This window comes from Homo sapiens, chromosome 13, assembly GCF_000001405.40.
Source record: "Homo sapiens chromosome 13, GRCh38.p14 Primary Assembly".
NCBI lineage: Eukaryota > Metazoa > Chordata > Mammalia > Primates > Hominidae > Homo > Homo sapiens.
In genome coordinates this window covers 46588562-46605902 of record NC_000013.11, presented here as the reverse complement: position 1 = coordinate 46605902, position 17341 = coordinate 46588562, and the positions used below count along the sequence as shown (strand labels likewise).

General features: G+C 40.2%; 1 protein-coding gene across 5 annotated transcripts in view, besides 1 other annotated feature; it reads right to left on the bottom strand.

Annotated features, from left to right (window-relative positions):
* LRCH1 (leucine rich repeats and calponin homology domain containing 1) overlaps window positions 1–17341 on the bottom strand; it is a 199872-nt gene that overhangs the window by 147139 nt on the left and 35392 nt on the right. The gene's annotated exons all lie outside the window — the stretch shown is intronic.
* Window positions 10467–10516: a silencer, noted in NCBI's record as "silent region_5325". NCBI's record gives its function as "represses an Ori minimal core promoter by ATAC-STARR-seq in GM12878 lymphoblastoid cells {active_cell/tissue: GM12878}" and the evidence as "EXISTENCE:reporter gene assay evidence [ECO:0000049][PMID:35858748]".

Here is a 17341-nt window from a genome sequence, read left to right as displayed (position 1 = left end):
GCTCTGACATCTTATCTTTCATAAGTAGTCTGTCATTATTAAACCTAGAATGTGAATTCTAATCACATTTTCACCCATTATCACAAATTATAGGTTTGTTTTTATCTCATAACCAAGAAATGTAACATTTTTTAGAAAGAAAACTGAAAGAGAAAAGAAAACCCAAAGGTCAAAACTATTCAAATCTCTCCTTAAGGAATTTATCTCATGAAGAAATACCCAACTTCTCCCTATCAGGATATTCTGAAATCCCAGTCAAGAATCCCCAACAAAAATATTTACAAGCACATGAGAAGAAAACACATGCTTATGATTATTTTTAAAAAAGAAGAAGAAAAATGAGGTGGAGGAAGGGGTAGGATAGGAAGGAGGAGGAGGAGGAGGAGGAGGAGGAGTGCCCTCATCTTCAGCACATATACTGTATTGTGTGGGGCCTCTAAACAGAAAATAATCCGGAATTTTTTGTACCTCTGCTCTGGCAGGCCACAAGTAAGTTTTCAAAGTGGATATGAACGGATAAAAGGCACAAGGCTTCTGTAAAATAAATATATAAAGTAGCATGGAAAGAACACATTATTGTTCAATAGTCAGGAAGCTTTGGAGCCCAGCCCAGGAAAACACTCTGTAACCTAAGGTGTGCCCTTCCAAGTCTTGGTCTGTTTATAAAGGACTCAGAGATAATTCCAGACATGTGTGATTTCATGTCAATCCGACTTTCCTTAGAGAAAACATGTTTAAACTCAGAAGAATTAAGATTTGGAAAGGACAGGTGACGATTATTTCAATAAACTTTTCAGTACTGCTGCATGCTAAGAAAGCAGATGCCTGCTGGCTGGCCTCTCCACACAAAGGGATTAATGGGTCAATTTCTTTAAGAACTGGCACCATGACATAATTGGCTGTCAATTAGCCAGGCATCAATCAGATGGACTTTTCTCATCTAAGCTTTTGTTCATTATACCTTAGGCCATATCAAAAATATGGCTGAGAACATTCTCCGATGCCCCAGTTTCTCTCACCAAAGCATTAGGAATAGAAAAGCATGTGTGTCGTTATGTTGATAATGTCAGTGTCATCATGGTCTGTTCCTTATGATAAGGGTTAAAACTCTGTAGATAGTGTTGTGATGAGATAAATGACCTAAAATTACTTATGCTCTAAGCTCACCTAGTTCAAAGCATTTCATAAATACCTGTCACATTTTTCTGGCATATCTCATTCCTTGGATAATAAAAAAAGAAACAAAAGGATAAACCTTGTAGAACATCAGAGGCTGAGGGCAGAACAAGACCAACAAGATGTAAGTTCTGCCTGCTCCGCTCCAGATACAATTTCATGTTTATTCCGTATCACAGGGAAGAAAGGCAAACAATTGAAAATTAAAATAACACTATCATTAAGTAAACTGTTCTAGGACTCTGGCCCAGTGTGTTCCTTCAGAATTAATTTATTCCACTGCCTTGAGCCACCCCCATCATCCTATTCTAAGTGACTACAGGGAGAAGGCACAGGCCCCAGACCCAGGGAGCAAGGCTACTGTGCTGCAGCCACCTCGGTCACCCACAAGAAGACACCTGAGGCTCTGACACCTCTCCTCTGGCCACATCCAAGGCCCTCCTCACCATCCCCACCCCAGTTAGGGTTGCCAGATAAAATACAGGATGCCCAGTTAGATCTGAATTTCAGATAATTAACAATCTTTTAGTATAAGTATGTCTCAAATATTGCATGGGACATATGTATAGCAAAAAAAAAGTAGTTATTTATATGAAATTCACATTTAACTGGGTGTCTTGTATTTTTATTTGCTACATCTGGCAACTCTACCCCCTAATTCTTTCAATACTCCTCCAAACTATTCTATAATACAAGGAGAAAAATTAATTCTGGCACAAAAACAACTGGGAGGTGAGGAAGAATCAACAAGCTAATTTCAAAAGAAGTTTGGCCGGGCATGGTGGCTCACGCCTATAATGCCAACATTTTAGAAGGCCAAGGCAGGAGGATTGCTTGAGGCCAGGAGTTCAAGACCAGCCTGGGCAACATAGTGAGACCCCATCTCTACAAAAAAATTAAAAATTAGCCAGCTATGGTGGCACGAGCCTATAGTCTCAGCTACTCAGGAGGCTGAGGTGGGAGGATCGCTTGAGCCCAGGAGATTGAGGCTGCAGTAAGCCAAGATCAGTCCCCTGCACTCCAAAGCGAGACCCTCATCTCATAGTACTCTGAATAGTAAAGTATCCAATTAGAAAAGTGAAGGTAAATTTAAAATTGTTTTTAAACAGCATGTTTAAAACTACCAATGCTTAAAATGGTTTCTAATACTATTGACTCGGTTACCTAGGGTAGCAGGAGTCTTGAAATTTATTGGTGCATTCAGTGTTAGCTCCCCCTGTTGTCCACTTAATTACTGGCTTTAGTGACACATAGGAATCCTCCCTAGATTCTTTTCTGTTGTACACAGAACACCTCAGCGACACTAGCTTTGCAAACAACCCATTTGGGTTATGTAAGGAGGGCGGCTGACAGAAAGAGAATGGGGCTGACAGAAAGAGAATGGGGCTGACAGAGATTTCAGGGAAGACTTGAGTCAGGGTCAGGAGGAGGAAACTGGATGGCTTCCCAGCACCTCAGATCCACAGTGTGGCTCTGCTCTCCCCAGGGATCAGACACACCCATGCTCAGAAAACAGGGCCACACCAAGAAGAAATAAATTAGAGGCTCTCCGTGTCTCTGCTCCGTGCATAAAATGAAGAAGAATTAGCTTTCTCCTCCCTAGATCATAGAAAGCACAAGAGGCACAAAATTATTTACAGGATGAAGTCACAGGATACAGATATCTTATTATAAAGATACAGCCATTTATCTGACAAGAAATGAGTTATTTAATTATTTACATGTATGTATGTATGTATGTATGTATGCATGCATGTATGTATGCATGTATGTATTTGTTGACCGGGTCTTGCTCTGTTGCCCAGGCTGGAGCACAGTGGCACAATCATGGTTCACTGCAGCACTGACCTCCGGGGCTCAATCCATCCTCCCACCTCAGCCTCTTCAGTAGCTGGGGCTACAGGCACCACCGCAGTCAGCTAATTTGTGTATTTTTTATAGAGATGGAGTTTTACCATGTTGCCCAATCTAGTCTCAAAGTCCTGGGCTCAAGTGTTCCACCCAACTCGGCCTCCCAAAGTGTAGGGATTACAGACATGAGCCTGTACCCAGCCTCCATTTTATTTTAAATCATCAATGCCCTTCAATTAGGAAATAATAATAATGTTGAGCACTTTCTGGGTACTAGCCATTGTGCTAAGAGCTTTGCATAAATTTATCTCAGTCAAGCCTCACCACGTCCCTATGAGTTTTTTTAAATCCCCAATTTAATTTCATAGTTAGGCTAAATCTGCAAGAAGTTAAATAGCTTTTTCTAGACTACAGACACAGTAAACAGCAGGGGGCTGATTTAGATCCACTGCAGACTGACCCAAAAGCCATGTTCTTCACCCTGAATGGATTACCTGTCCCCAATTAAGCACGTGTTCTGGGTGGTAATCATGACACAGGAAGCAGAGGCATAAACTATTCCAGGAAACTCACTTAAATTTCTCTGGTCTTCAGTTACACAACGAAGCTACATCATCTTCAAAGATCCTTCTAATGTCCAAAAATTCAAGCTTTATTCTAGCGGAACCAAAAATTCCTCAGGGTCAGCTATACATAGTTGCATTAATCTACTTGACACCTTTGAGGCTTAGAGAAGTTAAGTGGTTTCCTCAAGGTTACCAAGCTAGAATGGAAAGAGATGAGATTCAAATTCTGATCTTTCAAATCCATGTCCTGGAAGTCACCTTTAAACCATAGCTGGATCTATGATCTTTAATTTATATGACAACGTTGCAAGTCAGTAGACATAAAAACATTCAGGTTACAAATCCAACTACTGAACACAGGCTATTAATTCTTAGGTTTATTAAACAAGCTCTTTTCTCCTAATAAAGAGAAAGCAGCTACAAAGTCCAACTCAGTCACTGGATATCAAGAGTTAGGCAGCGGCGTGGGTACTATGATACAAGCCCAGCCTATATTCCTAACACCCCAGGCATTGCGACTCCATAACCCCCTACGAAAAACAGCCTGGTCCTACGTGATCATGACTGGGTAAAAAGAAACCCAACAGAGCAGGGCTTGGAAGGTGATTGGGCAGCAGGCCACTTAAACATTGCTATGGAAATATAATTAGTCTTATTAACCTAATTCATTTAGGGTTTTGTGATACTTCAGAGGGAGCTGAGCCCCACCTGGATTTAAAAGAATTTGATGAAAAAATTCAGATTACAAGAGGACATTGAACTAACCTCAAGGGACCAGTCACTCAACCTTTAAAATCACCTATGTACCTATGATCTATGAAATAATGACTAGTCATTCTCCTCTATTCATTAAGACAACTTTTTAAAAAACTTATAATCTTATCTTTCCTTCATTTAAAGAACTTTTTCCTGCAATTTGCCTCAAACATAAGTTTTTACACACAACAGTCTCTACCCTCTAAGCAAGTTACCCCTCAGGTCATTCCACACAGTCTGCACATCTCTTTCTATACATGCTTTGCTGTTTTCTGTAGGGAGGAGAAGAGGGACAGTGAAGAGAGGACCAGAGCCAAGGCTGATGCATATTCTCCACACAAGGAATCATGCTGCGGGCTCTGAGGAATAAAAAGAAAAACAAAACCGGCCCTGCCCTCAAAGCATCCATGAGGTAGGTGATGTTGTGCTAGTCTAAGTGACAATGGAGACCAATGGGCCTGAGCCCTTTAACGGATAGGGTGGGTTGGCTTGTGATTCCCATACTGCTGAGTTCCCCAAAGTATAGATCTGATTCTATGGAACATTCAACCTGCTCAGCAAGCCCCATTTCCCAAGGAGCAGCTGCCTGTAAAGGTGAAACTGAGTAACTGAATACACAACCAGAGCTAACATGACTTTGACAATCAAATTGCTTTAAAGCGCTAACAGAATCATAGCAATAGGCCATCAGTCATGAGCAGAAAAGCTGACTGTTGCTAAAGAGCATGAACGACAAAGTTCTGTGACACCAGTGCTCAGTATTTGTTAAACTGCATGATGAAATAATGTGAGTCATAAAATCAATTCAATGAACAGTATTTTATGTAAATTAAATGGAAACACATATCCTTAGCAGTAACTGTAAACATCTGCAACTTGCAACAAATACTTCAGGTTCTGTGTGTGTGTGTGTGTGTGTGTGTGTGTGTGTGTGTAAATCTGGTCAGGATGTAAAAAAACTGTAAAACATATTTCTTACTGGGTGTCTTAATTTTAAAAGTTTGAAAAACACTGTCTTAGGCTCAGCAGTAAATTCAGTTTTGAATAACTGCAGCCAAAGGGAACAGCAATTAGGACCATGACCCAAGGAAAGGCAAACAAAAGTGAATAAAAATAAATACTTCCTTAGAAGGACTGACCATACGGTTCACAGTCTTGACCCTAACTCTGTTATTCTTGGCTTGAAATAATCCAGCCATCTGAGAAAACGACTGCAAAATACCTGAAAGATTTCAAGTGCAGGTGTCTGCAAGGCACACACCAAAAAAACAAATAACACCAGACTCTGAAAGACAGGAAGCCACCATTCCCAAACCATAAAGACATTGTGAGAATAAAAATGTTTATGTTACTATGTTAAAAAGCCTGGCCGGGTGTGGTGGCTCACGCCTGTAATCCCAGCACTATGGGAGGCCTGAGGCGGGTGGATCACCTGAGGCCAGGAGTTCAAGACCAGCCTGGCCAACATGGTGAAACCCTGTCTCTACTGAAAATACAAAAATTAGCTGGGTGCTATTTTTTAATACAACAAAGCTATTTTTTAAGTAAGCTATTTTTAAAATAAAAAAATTAAGATCGGTGGCGTGAGCCACCGCACATGGCCAAATACCTTTAGTTTTGAAAGGGCTAAAGAGTTAACACAGGAGAGGGCTAATACATTTACCCTACATGTTTTCCAATCCCATTACGTATCTCCATAACAAATAACCTGAACTGTCTTCATGGTCATTGATTCATTCATTTAACAAAAATGAACTGAGCACCTACTAGGCTGTGGCCACAGTTCTAAGGTAACATAAGGTAAATTGATTCTATATTATTTGTTTCTACCTACATAATTGAGGGGCTAGAAACATGGAAAATGCAAATATTTCTGAAATAAAACTACTACTAATAAATGCTACTAAGTTTAATAATAAAATACTACTAAGTTTAATCATAAGACTATCACTGATGGCCAAAATTTCTTGACATTGTAATAGTTCTTCAACAATATTATTTAGTCATAATTATCAGTCAGCTACCAAAAAAAATGAAAGTAACAAATGTTGGCAAGGATGTGGAGAAACTGGAACCCCTGTGTACTGTGGGTGGGAATGTAAAATGGTGGAACCACCATGGAAAACATTATGGCAGATCCTCAAAAAAATTAAAAATAAAGTTACCGTCTGATCCAGCAATTCTACTTCTGAGTATACAACAACAAAAAAAAATTGAAAACAGGGTCTCAAAGAGATATTTGCAAACCCACGTTCATGGCAGCATTATTCACAATAGTCAAATTGTGGAAGCAACCCAAATGTTCATTGACAGAAGAATGGATAAACAAAATGTGGTGTATACATGCAATTAAATATTAATCAGCCTTAAGAAGGAAGGAAATTCTGACACCTGCTACAGTATGGATGGACCTTAAGGACATTATATAATGCTAAGTAAAATCAGCCAATACTAAAAAGACAAATACTCTATGCTTCTATTTATATAAGGTACCTAGGGTAGTCAAATTCATAGAGATGGAAAACAGAATGGTGGTTTCCAGGGGCTGAGCTGGAGAGAGGGAGATGAAGAGTCATTTAATGGTACAGAGTTTCAGTTTTGCAAGATGAAAAGAGCTCTGGAGACTGTGCGACAATGTGAATATGTAACTGCACACTTAAAAACAGTCAAGATGGTAAGTTTATGTGTATTTTGCAATTATAAAAAATATATATCAGACAGTGTTTACCTTCGGGGTTTTTATACCATAGAGCATTGCCCATGGTTCTGGATGCGAAGAACAACTTCTCAAGGATCCTGTGTAAGTTGAATCCAGGCTTTGCAGCAGCCTAAGCATTTCCCTTACCGAAAGCCCATCCCGGAAGTTCTGACTCTAATTCATTGTCTAACCAAATAGCCTTGCAAAACCATTTCCTCAAAACCCAGAGCAAGGCTATTTTGTTTGTGTTCTTTTTTTTTTGTTGTTGTTAGTGGTGAAACTACAAAAGTTACAGAAAGTATAGAAAGATGGACAACTTTTCCCCTTAAATTTATTGAAATTAAATTTTATTTACCCTGTAGAATGTTATCTTGAAATTGAATTGTTTTTTCTTGAACCTACAGAATATCATGCATACAAATGTAAAATTTCTATAAATCTGCAAGCGTCTTTTCCCCCGAGACAAGCAAGTTCCTGTGTTGCCTATTTTTATACCAATTGTACACTAAACTGGGGCACCCTGGCTGCAAGAGGGCCAGACAAAACTGCCCCAGGGCTGCTCAAAAGAGGCCATTTTGCACATAAAGAAATAGTGTTGTTTCTGGAACTTCTAGAGGAAAGAGTACATACGCTGTATGCCAATTTACTCAGAAAATGCCTCAGAAACCATGGAGTTTAAACTCTATTGTCATTTTATTGGGTGCCCGCCACCTTGACCGGCTAATTTTTGTATTTTTAGTAGAGACAGGGTTTCATCATGTTGGCCAGGCTAGTCTTGAACTCCTTACCTCAGGTGATCTGCCTGCCTCGGCCTCCCAAAGTGCTGGGATTACAGGCATGAGCCACCGCACTCAGCCCACACAGTGATCCTTGTTATTCATGATGGTAGTTCTGTCTATGAAGTTGCCTTGAACACCGCCATAGGAAATACTAATCCTTAGCTTCTGGGGGAAACACAGGGTTAGGTTCCTGCAAGCCTCTGGTCACAAAATTTTCATCAACCAACTTATAACGTCATTTTATGTGTGTTTCTGTTTTTTAAAAAAAAAATGGCTTATTTGATCTAAGTTGTTGGTTCATTGACACTAAACTCACAGCCAACAGCACTAAAGCCCATGCCTGAAGAAAGCTTAGCTAACACATGTATTTTTCCCTATAAGGCACATCACAGCCTTCTTGCACTTAAAAACACTGGACAGGGCCAGGCGCGGTGGTTCACGCCTGTAATCCCAGCACTTTGGGAGGCCAAGGCTGGTGGATCACCTGAGGTCAGGAGTTCAAGTCCAGCCTGTTCGACATGGTGAAACCCTGTCTCTACTAAAAATATAAAAATTAGCCGGGCGTGGTGGCTGATGCCTGTAACCCCAGCTACTTGAGAGGCTGAGGCAGGAGAATTGCTTGAACCCGGGAGGCGGAAGTTGCAGTGAGCCAAGATCAAGCCACTGCACTCCAGCCTGGGCGACAAGAGTAAGACTCCATCTAAAAAAAAAAAAAGTCCTACTGGACAGTTCTTTAGCCCTATATTTGGGGAGCCATTTTAAACAGTGAAATCACCAAGAAAAAGCCCAAAAATGCAGAAGACATGGCACTGAATTGTCTGCATCCAGGACACTCGTTTACAGTATGAGAACTGAGGCAAGAAGGCAGAGTGTCACCTTGTTCAACCTCCACCGGGTACGTGTACCTTGAGCTACTCAAATTTTTTTGCTGCTCTGTACATATCCACCAATGACCACAAAGAGTCCTCACGGATGGATTTGGGGCTTACAAATACATTTTAGCAAGTAGGCCAATTTCACAGATACAGAATTCTCAAAGATTGAGGATCGACTGTATTAACCCATTTGGGAATTTTCTTAGACCTAAACTTAGAGTAATAGATAGGAAGTCTATTCAAACCTTTCTGGGGGAAACTTTTAAAAGGTCACTTGAAAATTCAAGGGCTCTGAGCTACATACATAGAGCACTAGTTACTATCTTCCTGGGGTGGTGAAAATGTCCTCTTCACTCCCCCAAATTCAGCAGGCAAAATGCTGGGCAAATGATCGATTGCCATGGACCTAGCCATGTTGACTACCAGCATCTACCACCTGCGTAACTTTGCGTGACTTTGATCCAATCGCAAGCTGTTCCTCTACCCATGACGGGATTTCCCACAGTCTCCAGAAGGCACTTCCTGAAAATCATTCCCTTTGTCTATTCATGCCTTTAACATGTCATCTCAATGTAGCTTCAAGTTAGAATTCACTGACATTCTTTCATATTCTAACAAAGATGTCTCTGTTCCAAGATCGCTATTTCATTTCCAGATATATGCTAAGATAAAATTCAAAATTTAAAAAATGCCCAATTTTTCCAATTTGCTATTCATAGCAGCACCAAGTGTCTTAAATCATAAAAATGGAAACATCTGACAGACATACTGCAACTACAAGATCCTTATAAAGTAACACATGATTTTTTTTATCTCCCTGGAGAAGTAAAGATGCTTTGATTTATAGTCATGATCAGACTGTACCAAAACATGCTGCCTCCTTGAAGCAGGTAATATTTAGGGCTGCAATACAAGCTTTCCTCGGTGTTCATTAGGATCACAGTGTTTCTTCAGAGCTGCAGGAAACATTCAAAATTCACCAGCCCTTTATCTATTAGAAGAGATAAGCACTCAAGATGTGTTCCCAGGGAAAAAAACATTTTTGATCATGTCAACTCCCTCATCTATGATAACCATCCAAACCTCAGCTCCTCCTCCTTTCCTTTGAAACTAAAATAGGAAGCACTGGCATGAAAAACTTCTGCTTTTTAAAGTCTCAAAACTGGTTACTTGTATTTAAAAGCCTTTTTGCCTGTTTAAAACTAAAAACACTTTTACACCTTCATTAAAGTTATGACCGATGTGTTTAATTTTAAAGACATAGCTGCCATTCTTAATTACTTCCTCTACCTTTAACATCCCTGTCTTACATAAAATATTCAAAAAAAAAAAAACAATGTGAGGCCGTGCTTTGGATTCCATGTGGCCAATTTCACTCTGTGGCAGTTGCCAGCAGAACTCCACATCTAGAACAACCAGTATGTGCCTAAGGCCTTTCCTGTTCTTTTTGTTTCCTTGAGTTTATTCCTGTCAGGTGTAAGCACTCCAGAAATGTAGAATTATGACATAGGAACTCACACTGAGTCATAGCTGGAACTCATCTCTTCTGAGTTCACAATTAAAAACAAATGAAATCTAAAATTACATTGAAAACATAAAGGTAGATGGAAGTTTAAAGTGCAGATGTGGCTTCAGCCCCAGCTGGATATGCTCAGGGGGGAACAGATGTCAGTAATAAACCTAGGAGAGCTACAAAAGTTAGCTTATATCCATCACCAAGTGAAAATGCTGACGTACATATAAAACTGTGCCCTGCCTGCTTTCCTACCCAGTCTGAGTGTGCAATATGGAAACAGCCTGGAAAAGAACCCAGAAACCCTGTGGAGATGCAGAGCAGGTCTGCCACATCAGCGGTGAGGAAGTCACTTACTGCATGGTCGGGGTAGGCTAGCCATGCAGCACCATCAGGAAAGGTATGGTTTCTTCTAACACTTGGCACCTGGCCTATGCATCCTCTAAGTTCACCAAAGAAAGAAAACACATAATCTGCGGTTACATTCATTAAAGTCTGCCACAGGAGAATAGGGTTCTCGATGGGTATGGGGAGATGACAGAACAAAACTATAAATGACCAGGAATGGAATAAAATTAAACCTAAAGTGACCAGGGCAAAAAGCAAACCCCAGAATGATCATCATGGTATTAATAATTACATAAAGACTATAAACTCAGAAGAAGCTAGGAGAACACCCAGAGCCTGAAAGTTGGAGAAGGTTATAGCTGCCACACTCTTTAGATGAAGTTCATTTATGAGACTTTCTTTATATAGCCTGTATAGTTACATAAACTAGAGTCAATCAGGTTTTTCTAAACTGCGCTCTTGTTACTAGATCTTATTACAGTCTTCACATTTCAGAGCTAAATTAAAAAAACACACACATTTAGCCATATGTTTTCTATGGAAAGCACTAACCATACATTTGAAAATGAGGGTGACTTTCTTTTTTGTATTTTGCAGCCAGGATATTTTATTCACCAAAATTAAGCGAAGCAGTTCCTACTTATGAACTCATATGAACTAATTCAGCCCCGTCAAATCGAGAAACTTTAAATATTAAATTCTACTGTACAATCTCAGCTGGAAGTCATCTCTCTCTCCACCAACCTTCCAGGGCACTTGGCACCTATCCTATAATGCAAACATTCTGTGTAGCTCAAGGAGGTGGCCTGATTTGGTGCATTCAACAGTGGCTAGAGGTCTAAGCCTCTTTGCTTCTGCAGGGAGACAAAGAAAAATCATTTACTATTTTGCAAAGATCGCTTCATTGAATTTTCTTGGGGTCAATAGCCCTTAGCAGAAAACAAGTATTCCACACTTGTTCTATAAGGTTCTAGGAGGTTCTTACAAACCTCATCAGCAAGTAGTATTTTTTACATAACTTGCTATTAGCTTGGAAATTTACTACAGTCTCTGTTTATTTTCTTCAGTTGTTAAATATGTACTTTTTTTTTTTTTTTCACTGAGATTAAAAGAGGAGTCCAGGCAAAACAGTAAGAACATGGGTAAGAAATGGAAAGACAATAAATGTCTTGACTTGTTTTCGGGACTCAGACTGCCTAGGCTTAAATGCCTGCAATGTCACTCCCTGGCTCTCTGTTCTTGGCAAGTTACTTCACTTCCCAGGCACCTGGTACCCACCTCTCAGGGAACCTGGTATCTATCCTATGATGCAAACATTCTCTAGTTCAAGGAGATGGCCTGATTAGGTGCATTCAACAGTGGCTATAGACCTAAGACTCTATCAACTTAAAATTAGTTTTATAGAGGAAATGATACCTGATAAAAGGACACAGGAAAGAAGAAAAAAAGTTCATTTTTTCTTCTATATCATTATTTGTGGTCCAACTTCACCAAAGCTACCACAACAGACAAATAATGAAATCAGATCAGAGTGAGTTTAGAATTCAGAAAAGCAGAAGAAACTGACAGAGATTGGGAGTCTCCCTGGAATGGATGTAGTGGTGGCACCAGCCTCATCAGGACCTGGCGATCAGAAGGATGGATCCCGCCTGGGCCAGCCTATCAGCAAGCAGCTGGAACGAAGGGGCATGCCGCAAACTCACAGACCTGCCCACGGTTAACTAGGCAGCCACTCTCGCCAACACACAGAACAAATTTACTCAAAACATATCCTCACTCTCTGAGATTGTGGTTTATTCAGATCACGTCAGATCGTGGTGACGTTTCACTAAAGTCACTTTGATTTATCCTGGTTCTAAAATTCAGTGTCTCTCTGTGTAGGCTCTTTGATTACTGCCTTTGTATTCTCCAGCACGACCGAATCAGCTACTAGGTATTGGGATTCCTAGAAATGTTTGAAGAATGGCATGTCCCAGTTAACCACTGACTAGAAAAACCAAATTTGTCTAGTCAATTCAGGATTCAGATGTCAAATGGACAAAAAAAAAAAAAAAAAAGGAAAGAAAGAAAGAAAAAACCTCTTAAGGAAAAACTTTTTTTTTATTTCAAGTCTTGTTGAAAAATGTTTGAAAATACACTGATGAACTTTAGTACTGAGTAAATGGAAGTACTGAACATCACTTAATACTTTTTGATGATTCAAAGCCTACACTTCCATAGGGTTTCAAAACAGCTATAAATACAGGGCTAGTAATCCAAAGGAGGATATTACTCCCAGTTTAAAGGCAAGCAGGAAAGGCTACATTGGGGCAGAGGCTGGGACCCGTGTCCTGAAGGGACATGGGGATTTGAACAGGTGGAGACTGTAGAGGGAAGGGACATAGGAGGACAGGTGGTAAGGGAATTTTAGGTAGAGAAACCTCACAAACTTACAGAAGCCATAAACCCAAAATCATGGTCTATATTGATTTTTAATACCAATGCGAGAATGAAGGGATCTATCAGTCTAAAGAGGTAAGACGGGGCCAGATCACACAACAAACTAAGGAGTTTTGCCCAGAAGCAGCCAGGAATCACCAAACATTCTTCAGCTCAAAGAACAGAGACTGGGAAGAGGATGACATGATCAAATGAGTGATTAGGTATGATAGAGCTGGCAGAAATGTATATGAAGTGGGTAACACTAAGTACCATTTAAAACATACTTTTTAAGTGCTTCACATATTTTACCAATTTAATCTCATTTTACAGATAAGAAATTGAGACCAAGGAATTAAACAGGTTTTTCCAGATCAGTGACTCCAGCATTCTCTAATAATGGCCATAGAGAACCAGTGAAGAAAACCTTGTTTTCTTTAAAGGACTTAGCACCATGTGTGGGACAGAGGAAGTGCTCATATAATTGTTAGTTCCCTTACTTGCCCTTGCCTATTATGGGCTGAAAAGGAGAAATCCAGGAGCTAAAAGGATGGGAATGCCACAGTGGCATATTTCACTGGGGCACTATCACAAGCCTTACAGTTTTGGGGGCCATAAGCAGTTAACTTGGGATGTTGTCTCCTGAAAATTGTTGCCTATAAGCTGTGGCTGACTCTGACTCAGGAATACTCCTGTTTTGAACAAAAATGATCAATCCAAAGTCAGGAGACCATGATTCCTCATTAATGGAGTCCTCCACGAGGCGCCGTACCTTAAAAAGCTGCCCAACTGTTCCTTCCAGTGGAAAGATGGTAGGGGCTCAGCATTGCAATCCTATGTTCAAAATGAGGACTTGAGCTACGGAATGCGTTGCTGGATGAGAAGTTCTGCCTATGCTGACAGTTTTAAAACAATACTCTATTTTTGATTCCAATACCATATGATACTAGGGAAGCCTTGAAAACCAGAAACATTTTTCACCCAAGTCCACGGCAAAGTTCAAGAATGACTCCATGGCTAATACTTAGGTTGCAAATCGATAAATGAGCTCCTCTCGGATCCAATGAATTGAATTGAAAAATAAAACTATAATTACAGTAGGAAGAGTGCAATAAAAGATGAAAACCCAGGCTCCAAGCCCCTATTTTTCTTTTGTTCAAAACACCATTATTGGTTTCAAATATGCTTGTCTGTCAACAGGGGTTAGTATCCTATTTGCCTAAAGGCAAGAGGCTTGATCTGATGGTTTTCTAGGGCCCCTTCCTGGTCTAAGAACTCTAATCTAATGTGGTTTTACTAAACCCAGAGCTCTCCAAAATCATGACTTTCGTCTTAATTGCCTGCAGGAACCTGGGGGTTACCCTCAAGCTCTCACTGAATAAATGATACCTAAAGTAAATGCTGAAAACTGCCTTTCCTATTTATGAAGTGCGTATTCAGAATAATATTTCTTTTTTCTTCAAATTTGATTAAAGTAGCCATTCCATTATGCCTTTTCATAAGGGAGTCACATTGAAGTCATAAAAATGTTACTGGAATCATTTTCATTCCAACAAATTAGATATTAATGAGGGTTTATCCTTACAATTGAAGAAAGGAACTAATTCATTAGGAAAATGAGTAACACATATATATGCTTATCAAGGGACCCTAAAAGAAATACTTTCATATGAAAGATGTGTTTTTATATCCTAAAATTATTTCCAACATTTGGTATGGAGCCAAGGCAATTCAGTAACTTTGCCATTTATAGCAAAGTTTAGGCCAAGTTGCGGGGCACACAAAAAAGTATACTTGCTTGACAATTTAAGTCCATAGGGCCAATCTGAATGTCCAGGCAGGAAGGGACTTTGTCTCACCGATATTCTGAGCTCTTTGAAAATGAAGGAGAGTCCCTATATTTCCACAGGTGTATAGCTCGCAGAGAACTTACAGGGGGAAAAAAAAAAGCCATAAGCAATGAAAAATAAAGTTCAGAGAAGAAACATCTCAGCTCCTAAAAGAGAAATCGAAAAGAAAAAAGAAAAGGACAGTCACTGATATACAGACCTATCTTCTCACTTCACTTGGGAATATATGAAGACTAGAAGGGAGTGAAAGTAGCTAAACTAGGGAAGAGAAAGAAGGTGAATCCATTCACCATTTGAGAAAACATCTGCCTGCCAAGCATAGACAATTCAGTTGTGGATCCAGAAAATTCCTTTCCCCATCAAATTTAAGATGAGACTTTTATTTATTTATTATTTTATTTTATTTTTGAGATAGGGTCTTGCTCTGTTATCCAGGCTGCAGTGTAGTGCTGCAATCATGGCTCACTGCAGCCTCAAACTCCTGGGCTCAAGTGATCCTCCTGCCTTAGCCTCCTAAAGGGCTGAGATTACAGGTGTGAGCCACCACGCCTGGCCAAGAAGAGAGTTTTAAATGTTAATAAATTGGCCTGTGATAACACTGAATTATATTGGGTTTCAAGAAATCACAAAAAAAGCAACACCTCCCTGCTGTCAGCAGCTCATAGAATGGTGGGCTAGACATAAACGTATACAAGGAAATTGCCACATTGTAAGAAAATGTCCTATTAGTGGCACATACTCATGGCCATGGAAGAGCAAAGAAGAGGAGATAGAAAGAGATAGGGTGAAGGGGGGAGGACAGGAAACCCAGTCAACTTTTAGTTCATGTCTTTTAAAATAAGGAAGAGACTCTAATCAGAAGTTGACAAGTGTCACCTTCCAATATTGTGACTTTCTCAATATCACAGAGGCCAGGGTTTTAAGAAAAATCACTCTGCGAAGATGACACTGACTTTTTCTTAATCTCCTCTACCTCATCTTCCCAAAAAAGATTAACTGAACTAATAAACTCCAAACTTCTGGCCTAACTTCCAGTTTACAGGAAATCATGAATGAGAGAAACTGAACAGCCTCAACAGGAAACAATCAGACACATCCTCCATGTGGGATGTCCTCCAAGGCAAGTGGCCTGGTCTCTTTCTAAAGTCAATGTCAAAAAAAAAAAAAAAAAATCCCAGGCACAGTGGCTTACACTTGTAATCCCAGCACTTTGTGAAGCCAAGGCCATTGGATCACCTGAGGTCAGGAGTTCGAGACCAGCCTAACCAATGTGGTAAAACCCTGTCTCTACTAAAAATACAAAAATTAGCTGGGCGTGTTGGTGGGCACAAGTAATCCCACCTACTCGGAAGGCTGAGACAGGAGAATCACTTGAACCCAGGAGGCGGAGGTTACAGTGAGCCAATATAGCACCATTGCCCTCCAGCCTGGGTGACAAGAGCAAAACGCCATCTCAAAAAAAAAAAAAAAAAAAAAAAAGTGAGAGAACTGTTCTAGATGCTAGATTAAACATAAAAGAGTTTAGGACTACAATATGAATTGCAATGCATGAGCACTGTGTATCTGAATTTAGGAAGAAAAAATCGCCATAAAAGACAATTTGGAGACAACTAGATAAATTTAAATATGGACTGGATACCAGATATAATGAGAAAATTATCGTTCATTTTTCATATTTTGAAATGTTAGTGTCTTTATGTACGAGAATGCCCTTACTATTAGGAAACAGATGCTCAAGAACTTAGGCCAGGCACAGTGGCTCATGCCTATAATCTGAATACTTGGGAGGCTGAGGCAGGAGGATCACTTGAGTCTGAGACCAGCCTGGGCAACATGGTAAGATTTCTCTCTATAGAAATAAAATTAAAATTAGCCAGGTGTGGTGGCATGTGCCTATAGTTCCAGCTACTTGGGAGGCTGAGGTGGGAGGATTAGTTGAGCCCAGAAGTTCGAGGCTGCAGTGAGCTATGATTGCACCACTGCCCTCCAGCCTGGGTGACATAGTGAGACCCTGCCTTAAAAAATATATAGAGAGAGAGGGTAAGCATCATGACATCTCCTTACCCTGATTAATCTCAAACTGTTCAGCAAAAAACATATATATATATATACACACATCCGCATACCTTCACATACACATATACACACACAAATAGAGAAAGCAAATGCAGGCTGGGCACGGTTGCTCACACCTATAATCCCAACACTTTGGGAGGCCAAGGCAGGCAGATCACCTGAGATCAGGAGTTCGAGACCAGCCTGGCCAACATGGCAAAACCCCGTCTCTACTAAATATACAAAAAAGTTAGCTGGATGTAGTGGCGGGCGCCTGTAATCCCAGCTACTCGGGAGGCTAAGGCAGGAGAATCACTTGAACCCGAGAGGCGGGGGTTGCAGTGAACGGAGATGGCGCCACTGCATTCCAGCCTGGGTGACAGAGCGAGATGACTGTCTCAAAAAAAAAAAAAAAAAAAAAGACAGAGAGAGAGAAACGAAATACAGCACCATGTT